This window comes from Homo sapiens, chromosome 21 (genome assembly GCF_000001405.40).
Source record: "Homo sapiens chromosome 21, GRCh38.p14 Primary Assembly".
Taxonomy (NCBI): domain Eukaryota; kingdom Metazoa; phylum Chordata; class Mammalia; order Primates; family Hominidae; genus Homo; species Homo sapiens.
In genome coordinates, this window is record NC_000021.9 from 8238357 (window position 1) to 8249504 (window position 11148).

The 11148-nt window shown below is 49.1% G+C and overlaps 1 pseudogene across 1 annotated transcript; it reads right to left on the reverse strand.

Annotated features, from left to right (window-relative positions):
- Positions 1-877: 877 nt before the first annotated feature.
- Positions 878-4721, reverse strand: CDC27P9 (cell division cycle 27 pseudogene 9; annotated as a pseudogene). Its single transcript, XR_430342.5, has one exon. The product of XR_430342.5 is annotated as a cell division cycle 27 pseudogene 9 (transcript).
- Positions 4722-11148: the final 6427 nt, after the last annotated feature.

Sequence of the window (11148 nt, forward strand, 5' to 3'; positions counted from 1 at the left end):
CAAAGCTGACCTGTCCCACCGAGGTCAAATGGATACCTCTGCATTGGCCCGAGGCCTCCGAAGTACATCACCGTCACCAACCGTCACCGTCAGCATCCTTGTGAGCCTGCCCAAGGCCCCGCCTCCGGGGAGACTCTTGGGAGCCCGGCCTTCGTCGGCTAAAGTCCAAAGGGATGGTGACTTCCACCCACAAGGTCCCCACTGAACGGCGAAGATGTGGAGCGTAGGTCAGAGAGGGGACCAGGAGGGGAGACGTCCCGACAGGCGACGAGTTCCCAAGGCTCTGGCCACCCCACCCACGCCCCACGCCCCACGTCCCGGGCACCCGCGGGACACCGCCGCTTTATCCCCTCCTCTGTCCACAGCCGGCCCCACCCCACCACGCAACCCACGCACACACGCTGGAGGTTCCAAAACCACACGGTGTGACTAGAGCCTGACGGAGCGAGAGCCCATTTCACGAGGTGGGAGGGGTGGGGGTGGGGTGGGTTGGGGGTTGTGGGGTCTGTGGCGAGCCCGATTCTCCCTCTTGGGTGGCTACAGGCTAGAAATGAATATCGCTTCTTGGGCGGAGGGGCTTCCTTAGGCCATCACCGCTTGCGGGACTACCTCTCAAACCCTCCCTTGAGGCCACAAAATAGATTCCACCCCACCCATCGACGTTTCCCCCGGGTGCTGGATGTATCCTGTCAAGAGACCTGAGCCTGACACCGTCGAATTAAACACCTTGACTGGCTTTGTGTGTTTGTTTGTTTCTGAGATGGAGTCTTGCTCTGTCCCCCAGGCTGGAGTGCAGTGGCGTGATCTCAGCTCACTGGAACCTCTGCCTCCTGGGTTCAAGTGATTCTCCTGTCTCAGCGCCACCATGGCCGGCTCATTTTTTTTTTTTTTTTTTTTTTTTTTTTTTTTTTTTTTTTTTTGGTAGACACGGGGTTTCACCCTCTTTCATTGGTTTTCACTGGAGATTCTAGATTCGAGCCACACCTCATTCCGTGCCACAGAGAGACTTCTTTTTTTTTTTTTTTTTAAGCGCAACGCAACATGTCTGCCTTATTTGAGTGGCTTCCTATATCATTATAATTGTGTTATAGATGAAGAAACGGTATTAAACACTGTGCTAATGATAGTGAAAGTGAAGACAAAAGAAAGGCTATCTATTTTGTGGTTAGAATAAAGTTGCTCAGTATTTAGAGCTACCTAAATACGTCAGCATTTACACTCTTCCTAGTAAAAGCTGGCCAATCTGAATAATCCTCCTTTAAACAAACACAATTTTTGATAGGGTTAAGATTTTTTTAAGAATGCGACTCCTGCAAAATAGCTGAACAGACGATACACATTTAAAAAAATAACAACACAAGGATCAACCAGACTTGGGAAAAAATCGAAAACCACACAAGTCTTATGAAGAACTGAGTTCTTAAAATAGGACGGAGAACGTAGCTATCGGAAGAGAAGGCAGTATTGGCAAGTTGATTGTTACGTTGGTCAGCAGTAGCTGGCACTATCTTTTTGGCCATCTTTCGGGCAATGTAACTACTACAGCAAAATGAGATATGATCCATTAAACAACATATTCGCAAATCAAAAAGTGTTTCAGTAATATAATGCTTCAGATTTAGAAGCAAATCAAATGATAGAACTCCACTGCTGTAATAAGTCACCCCAAAGATCACCGTATCTGACAAAATAACTACCACAGGGTTATGACTTCAGAATCATACTTTCTCTTGATATTTACTTATGTATGTATTTATTTTTTTTAATTTATTTCTCTTGAGACGGCGTCTCGCTCTGTCGCCCAGGCTGGAGTGCGATGGTGTGATCTCGGCTCACTGCAACCGCCACCTCCCTGGGTTCAAGCGATTCTCCTGCCTCAGCCTCCCGAGTAGCTGGGACTACAGGTGCCCGCCACCACGCCCAGCTAATCTTTATACTTTTAATAGAGACGGGGTTTCACCGTGTCGGCCCGGATGGTCTCGATCTCTTGACCTCGTGACCCGCCCGCCTCGGCCTCCCAAAGTGCTGGGATGACAGGCGTGAGCCACTGAGCCCGGCCTTCTCTTGACGTTTAAACTATGAAGTCAGTCCAGAGAAACGCAATAAATGTCAACGGTGAGGATGGTGTTGAGGCAGAAGTAGGACCACACTTTTTCCTATCTTATTCAGTTGATAACAATATGACCTAGGTAGTAATTTCCTATGTGCCTACTTATACACGAGTACAAAAGAGTAAAACAGAGAGACTGCTAAATTAAAGGGTACGTGAAGTTCTTCATAGTAACTCCGTAAACTGGAACACTGTCAAAAAGCAGCAGCTAGTGAATTGTTTCCATGTATTTTTCTATTATCCAATAAGTGAACTATGCTATTCCTTTCCAGTCTCCCAAGCACTTCTTGTCCCCATCACCACTTCGGTGCTCGAAGAAAAAGTAACAAATCAAGGAACACAACTAAAGAAACACACACACAAACCAAAGACAACTACAGCGTCTGCAAAAGTTTGCTAGAAGACTGAAACTGTTGAGTATAAGGATCTGGTATTCTACGATCATGAGTTCACTTCAGAGTTTGTTCAAGACATACGTTTCGTAAGGAAACATCTTAGTTAGAAGTTATTCAGCAGTAGGTACCATCCCTAAGTATTTTTCACCAAATTCGTGACAATAAAGAGCTATCTAACCAGAAAAATTAGCGAGTACCGGCACCATCCATAGGGCTTTGTCTTTACGCTTCATTAGCACTTACCATGCCTTACAATGTCTAGGATTGACCCTGATAGCATTTCGAAAACAAGCTAATGCTTTGTCCAGTTCTTCAGTGAAGACAAGCTCACGCCCTAATGCGCTATAGGCATAAGCATCATTTGGATCCACTTCGAGAGTTCTCTGGAAGAATTGAATCGCAATATCGTGTTCCCGTTGCAGACCGAAACAGTTCCCTGCAGCACACCAGGCCTCTGGCTGGCGAATTTTTATCCATGTCTGTGAAGTCTTTGGACAGAACTGAAAGAGCAACCTCTTTCGGAGGATGCCAAAGTGTTGTAGAGTAGATCTCCATGCCTTCGACTCTGTAATTCTCAATCCTCCTAACCTCTGAGAATTGTCTTTCAGCTTGCGTGGACTCTGAAAGTTTACAATAGGCCCTTCCGATTTGGCACAGTACCCAACCGGTATTGCAGTGGTGAGAAGCTAGATGGCTCAAGATGCTGATAGCTTCTTTGCCGTGGTAAGAACACAAAGCTAAATAACCTTTCCCCCTTTCACGAAGAAGGCTCATCAAGCCTTCCGCTGCTGCTTTTTGTAGATTAAAAGCCTGAATCTGAGGCGCGATTGTGGCTATTTTCCCTTCTGAAATGACGGAAGAGTCCAATTTTGTCACTTCCAGGCTATCACTTATGTTCGGTGGAGTTATTGCTCCTTTATTAGTTTTACTTTTGGTTCTTCTGTTTGGGATTTTAGGTGGAAACTTCATTTTTAATTTTCTCCTATTCTCCTCGGTTGTGGAGCTGTCACTAGTCAAGAGTCGTGAATTTCTTCGAGGCGGTGCATTTGGGGGAGATGCCATAGTGGGGCTCAATACCTGAGGTGTTGCCCTTGTCGGCGGACCAGAACTTTGTGTTTTTGCAAGGACTGGAGTTACCTTTCGGCTCTTTCCCCTCTGCGAGAAGACAGACGGTGTTCCGGTTTGGCCGATTCTGGCAACAGGCTTTTTTGAAGGGGCTCCGGTGGATGGCACGTCAATGACAGACGGTGTCTCATACCAGTGCAGTTTTGTCAATAGGGTCCGTCTCCGGGACTTGGGGTTTCTAATGGCAAAATGCCAACACTTGGGGTTAATGGACTAACAGCTGCTGGTCCTCCTAATAAACTTCGACCAGTTTTTGGTTTATGTTGAACCTGTTTAGATCATATGGAAGTTCCTGTTCCCAGTGGGACAGTATCAGGTGAAAGGACAGCTGAATCGATAGAAGACACTGGGGAGTCTGTATTCAAGGAGTACTTTGAATTGGAAGATTCTAAATTCCATCCGTTTCATTCGACGGTGTCCTGGGGTGTTTCCGTAAGAACGGTCTCGGGCTGTCTGTGACATAAACTAGGACGAGGTCCAAGTGTTGTGGCGCAACACTTGGACAGGCAGTTGCTAAAGCTCTCTAGAGAGGTGAATCAAAATGTTTGGTCAGGATCTGGCTTTTCCCCCCTATTTCACATCATGATTCAAAGGGACACCAGAGGAAAGGATTTCAACGAAGGCTCTTTTGGTCACATTCTGATCCTTTGGTAAGCCGATCTGTCTTGCAATATACATGTCCCGACGATGGAAGGGGAAAGCGAGCTGAATCACCAAACTCAGGAACGATAATATCATCGTGGCTTTTCTGCTTATGAAACACTCCACCCGATAAGATTTGATCCCCTTCTGCAAGCTTGCTGAGATCAACACAACATTTCGCAAGCAGGCATTTGCATTGCGGGGTAGTACAACTGTGTCCTTTCAAGAGTCTATATGTTTTATAGGCCTTTCCTGAGCGGTAAGAACAGGTCGCCAGTAAGAACAAGGCTTCTTCTGAGTGTACTTCTGCATAAAGGCGTTCTGCGGGGGAAACCGCATCTCGGTAGGCATAGTGGTTTAGTGCTTGCCATATAGCAGCCTGGACGGGTCCCTGCAGCACCGCCATCCTCGAGGCTCAGGCCCACTTTCTGCAGTGCCACAGGCACCCCCCCCCCCCCCATAGCGGCTCCGGCCCGGCCAGCCTCGGCTCATTTAAAGGCACCAGCCGCCGTTACCGGGGGATGGGGGAGTCCGAGACAGAATGACTTCTTTATCCTGCTGACTCTGGAAAGCCCGGCGCCTTGTGATCCATTGCAAACCGAGAGTCACCTCGTGTTTAGAACACGGATCCACTCCCAAGTTCAGTGGGGGGATGTGAGGGGTGTGGCAGGTAGGACGAAGGACTCTCTTCCTTCTGATTCGGTCTGCACAGTGGGGCCTAGGGCTGGAGCTCTCTCCGTGCGGACCGCTGACTCCCTCTACCTTGGGTTCCCTCGGCCCCACCCTGGAACGCCGGGCCTTGGCAGATTCTGGCCCTTCCTGGCCCTTCAGTCGCTGTCAGAAACCCCATCTCATGCTCGGATGCCCCGAGTGACTGTGGCTCGCACCTCTCCGGAAACATTGGAAATCTCTCCTCTACGCGCGGCCACCTGAAACCACAGGAGCTCGGGACACACGTGCTTTCGGGAGAGAATGCTGAGAGTCTCTTGCCGACTCTCTCTTGACTTGAGTTCTTCGTGGGTGCGTGGTTAAGACGTAGTGAGACCAGATGTATTAACTCAGGCCGGGTGCTGGTGGCTCACGCCTGTAACCCCAACACTTTGGGAGGCCGAGGCCGTAGGATCCCTCGAGGAATCGCCTAACCCTGGGGAGGTTGAGGTTGCAGTGAGTGAGCCATAGTTGTGTCACTGTGCTCCAGTCTGGGCGAAAGACAGAATGAGGCCCTGCCACAGGCAGGCAGGCAGGCAGGCAGGCAGAAAGACAACAGCTGTATTATGTTCTTCTCAGGGTAGGAAGCAAAAATAACAGAATACAGCACTTAATTAATTTTTTTTTTTCCCTTCGGACGGAGTTTCACTCTTGGTGCCCACGCTGGAGTGCAGTGGCACCATCTCGGCTCACCGCAACCTCCACCTCCCGCGTTCAAGCGATTCTCCTGCCTCAGCCTCCTGAGTAGCTGGGATTACAGGGAGGAGCCACCACACCCAGCTGATTTTGTATTGTTAGTAGAGACGGCATTTCTCCATGTGGGTCAGGCTGGTCTCGAACTGGCGACCCCAGTGGATCTGCCCGCCCCGGCCTCCCAAAGTGCTGGGGTGACAGGCGTGAGCCATCGTGACTGGCCGGCTACGTTTATTTATTTATTTTTTTAATTATTTTACTTTTTTTTAGTTTTCCATTTTAATCTATTTATTTATTTACATTTATTTATTTATTTATTTATTTACTTATTTATTTATTTTCGAGACAGACTCTCGCTCTGCTGCCCAGGCTGGAGTGCAGCGGCGTGATCTCGGCTCACTGCAAGCTCCGCCTCCCGGGTTCACGCCATTCTCCTGCCTCAGCCTCCCAAGTAGCTGGGACTACAGGCGCCCGCCACCGTGCCCGGCTAACTTTTTGTATTTTGAGTAGAGATGGGGTTTCACTGTGGTAGCCAGGATGGTCTCGATCTCCTGACCCCGTGATCCGTCCACCTCGGCCTCCCAAAGTGCTGGGATGACAGGCGTGAGCCACCGCCCCCGGCCTATTTATCTATTTATTAACTTTGAGTCCAGGTTATGAAACCAGTTAGTTTTTGTAATTTTTTTTTTTTTTTTTTTTTTTTGAGACGAGGTTTCACCGTGTTGCCAAGGCTTGGACCGAGGGATCCACCGGCCCTCGGCCTCCCAAAAGTGCGGGGATGACAGGCGCGAGCCTACCGCGCCCGGACCCCCCCTTTCCCCTTCCCCCGCTTGTCTTCCCGACAGACAGTTTCACGGCAGAGCGTTTGGCTGGCGTGCTTAAACTCATTCTAAATAGAAATTTGGGACGTCAGCTTCTGGCCTCACGGACTCTGAGCCGAGGAGTCCCCTGGTCTGTCTATCACAGGACCGTACACGTAAGGAGGAGAAAAATCGTAACGTTCAAAGTCAGTCATTTTGTGATACAGAAATACACGGATTCACCCAAAACACAGAAAGCAGTCTTTTAGAAATGGCCTTAGCCCTGGTGTCCGTGCCAGTGATTCTTTTCGGTTTGGACCTTGACTGAGAGGATTCCCAGTCGGTCTCTCGTCTCTGGACGGAAGTTCCAGATGATCCGATGGGTGGGGGACTTAGGCTGCGTCCCCCCAGGAGCCCTGGTCGATTAGTTGTGGGGATCGCCTTGGAGGGCGCGGTGACCCACTGTGCTGTGGGAGCCTCCATCCTTCCCCCCACCCCCTCCCCAGGGGATCCCAATTCATTCCGGGCTGACACGCTCACTGGCAGGCGTCGGGCATCACCTAGCGGTCACTGTTACTCTGAAAACGGAGGCCTCACAGAGGAAGGGAGCACCAGGCCGCCTGCGCACAGCCTGGGGCAACTGTGTCTTCTCCACCGCCCCCGCCCCCACCTCCAAGTTCCTCCCTCCCTTGTTGCCTAGGAAATCGCCACTTTGACGACCGGGTCTGATTGACCTTTGATCAGGCAAAAACGAACAAACAGATAAATAAATAAAATAACACAAAAGTAACTAACTAAATAAAATAAGTCAATACAACCCATTACAATACAATAAGATACGATACGATAGGATGCGATAGGATACGATAGGATACAATACAATACGATACGATACAATACAATACAATACAATACAATACAATACAATACAATACAATACAATACGCCGGGCGCGGTGGCTCATGCCTGTCATCCCGTCACTTTGGGATGCCGAGGTGGACGCATCACCTGAAGTCGGGAGTTGGAGACAAGCCCGACCAACATGGAGAAATCCCGTCTCAATTGAAAATACAAAACTAGCCGGGCGCGGTGGCACATGCCTATAATCCCAGCTGCTAGGAAGGCTGAGGCAGGAGAATCGCTTGAACCTGGGAAGCGGAGGTTGCAGTGAGCCGAGATTGCGCCATCGCACTCCAGTCTGAGCAACAAGAGCGAAACTCCGTCTCAAAAATAAATACATAAATAAATACATACATACATACATACATACATACATACATAAATTAAAATAAATAAATAAAATAAAATAAATAAATGGGCCCTGCGCGGTGGCTCAAGCCTGTCATCCCCTCACTTTGGGAGGCCAAGGCCGGTGGATCAAGAGGCGGTCAGACCAACAGGGCCAGTATGGTGAAACCCCGTCTCTACTCACAATACACAACATTAGCCGGGCGCTGTGCTGTGCTGTACTGTCTGTAATCCCAGCTACTCGGGAGGCCGAGCTGAGGCAGGAGAATCGCTTGAACCTGGGAGGCGGAGGTTGCAGTGAGCCGAGATCGCGCCACTGCAACCCAGCCTGGGCGACAGAGCGAGACTCCGTCTCCAAAAAATGAAAATGAAAATGAAACGCAACAAAATAATTAAAAAGTGAGTTTCTGGGGAAAAAGAAGAAAAGAAAAAAGAAAAAAACAACAAAACAGAACAACCCCACCGTGACATACACGTACGCCTCTCGCCTTTCGAGGCCTCAAACACGTTAGGAATTATGCGTGATTTCTTTTTTTAACTTCATTTTATGTTATTATCATGATTGATGTTTCGAGACGGAGTCTCGGAGGCCCGCCCTCCCTGGTTGCCCAGACAACCCCGGGAGACAGACCCTGGCTGGGCCCGATTGTTCTTCTCCTTGGTCAGGGGTTTCCTTGTCTTTCTTCGTGTCTTTAACCCGCGTGGACTCTTCCGCTCGGGTTTGACAGATGGCAGCTCCACTTTAGGCCTTGTTGTTGTTGGGGACTTTCCTGATTCTCCCCAGATGTAGTGAAAGCAGGTAGATTTGCCTTGCCTGGACTTGCCTGGCCTTGCCTTTTCTTTCTTTCTTTCTTTATTACTTTCTCTTTTTCTTCTTCTTCTTCTTCTTCTTCTTCTTCTTCTTCTTCTTCTTCTTCTTCTTTTTTTTTTTGAGACAGAGTTTCACTCTTGTTGCCCAGGCTAGAGGGCAATGGTGCGATCTCGGCTCACCGCACCCTCCGCCTCCCAGGTTCAAGCGATTCTCCTGCCTCAGCCTCCTGATTAGCTGGGATTACAGGCATGGGCCACCGTGCCTGGCTGATGTTTGTACTTTTAGTAGAGACGGTGTTTTTCCATGTTGGTCAGGCTGGTCTCCCACTCCCAACCTCAGGTGGTCCGCCTGCCTTAGCCTCCCAAAGTGCTGGGATGACAGGCGTGAGCCACCGCGCCCAGCCTCTCTCTCTCTCTCTCTCTCTCTCTCTCTCTCTCTCTCTCTCGCTCGCTTGCTTGCTTGCTTTCGTGCTTTCTTGCTTTCCCGTTTTCTTGCTTTCTTTCTTTCTTTCGTTTCTTTCATGCTTGCTTTCTTGCTTGCTTGCTTGCTTTCGTGCTTTCTTGCTTTCCTGTTTTCTTTCTTTCTTTCTTTCTTTTGTTTCTTTCTTGCTTGCTTTCTTGCTTGCTTGCTTTCGTGCTTTCTTGTTTTCTCGATTTCTTTCTTTCTTTTGTTTCTTTCCTGCTTGCTTTCTTGCTTGATTGCTTTCGTGCTTTCTTGCTTTCTTGTTTTCTTTCTTTCTTTTGTTTCTTTCTTTCTTGCTTCCTTGTTTTCTTGCTTTCTTGCTTGCTTGCTTTCGTGCTTTCTTGTTTTCTTGCTTTCTTTCTTTTGTTTCTTTCTTGCTTGCTTTCTTGCTTCCTTGTTTTCTTGCTTTCTTGCTTGCTTGCTTTCGTGCTTTCTTTCTTGCTTTCTTTTCTTTCTTTCTTTTCTTTTTCTTTCTTTCTTGCTTTCTTTTCTTTCATTCATTCATTCTTTCTTTCTTTCCTTTCTTTCTTTCTTTCTTTCTATCTTTCTTTCTTTCTTTCTTTCTGTTTCGTCCTTTTGAGACAGAGTTTCACTCTTGTTTCCACGGCTAGAGTGCAATGGCGCGATCTTGGCTCACCGCACCTTCCGCCTCCCGGGTTCGAGCGCTTCTCCTGCCTCAGCCTCCCGATTAGCGGGGATTACAGGGAGGCACCCCCACGCCTGGCTTGGCTGATGTTTGTGTTTTTAGTAGGCACGCCGTGTCTCTCCATGTTGCTCAGGCTGGTCTCCAACTCCCGACCTCCTGTGATGCGCCCACCTCGGCCTCTCGAAGTGCTGGGATGACGGGCGTGAGCCACCGTGCCCGGCCTGTTGACTCATTTCGCTTTTTTATTTCTTTCGTTTCCACGCGTTTACTTATATGTATTAATGTAAACGTTTCTGTACGCTTATATGCAAACAACGACAACGTGTATCTCTGCATTGAATACTCTTGCGTATGGTAAATACGTATCGGTTGTATGGAAATAGACTTCTGTATGATAGATGTAGGTGTCTGTGTTATACAAATAAATACACATCGCTCTATAAAGAAGGGATCGTCGATAAAGACGTTTATTTTACGTATGAAAAGCGTCGTATTTATGTGTGTAAATGAACGAGCGTACGTAGTTATCTCTGTTTTCTTTCTTCCTCTCCTTCGTGTTTTTCTTCCTTCCTTTCTTCCTTTCTCTCCTTCTTTAGGTTTTTCTTCCTCTCTTCCTTTCCTTCTTTCTCTCTTTCTGTCCTTTTTTCCTTCGTGCTTTATTTCTCTTTCGTTCCCTGTGTTTCCTTCTTTTTTCTTTCCTCTCTGTTTCTTTTTCCCTTCTTTCCTTCGTTTCTTTCCTCATTCTTTCTCTCTTTTTCGTGTTTCTTTCCTTCCCGTCTGTCTTTTAAAAAATGGAGTGTTTCAGAAGTTTACTTTGTGTATCTACGTTTTCTAAATTGTCTCTCTTTTCTCCATTGTCTTCCTCCCTCCCTCCCTCCCTCCCTCCCTGCTCCCTTCCCTCCCTCCTTCCCTTTCGCCATCTGTCTCTTTTCCCCACTCCCCTCCCCCCGTCTGTCTCTGCGTGGATTCCGGAAGAGCCTACGCATTCTGCCTCTCCGTGTGTCTGCAGCGACCCGCGACCGAGTCCTTGTGTGTTCTTTCTCCCTCCCTCCCTCCCTCCCTCCCTCCCTCCCTGCTTCCGAGAGGCATCTCCAAACACCCACGCGCCGTGGGTTGTCTTCTGACTCTGTCGCGGTCGAGGCAGAGACGCGTTTTGGGCACCGTTTGTGTGGGGTTGGGGCAGAGGGGCTGCGTTTTCGGCCTCGGGAAGAGCTTCTCGACTCACGGTTTCGCTTTCGCGGTCCACGGGCCGCCCTGCCAGCCGGATCTGTCTCGCTGACGTCCGCGGCGGTTGTCGGGCTCCATCTGGCGGCCGCTTTGAGATCGTGCTCTCGGCTTCCGGAGCTGCGGTGGCAGCTGCCGAGGGAGGGGACCGTCCCCGCTGTGAGCTAGGCAGAGCTCCGGAAAGCCCCGGTCGTCAGCCCGGCTGGCCCGGTGGCGCCAGAGCTGTGGCGCGTCGCTTGTGAGTCACAGCTCTGGCGTGCAGGTTTATGTGGGGGAGAGGCTGT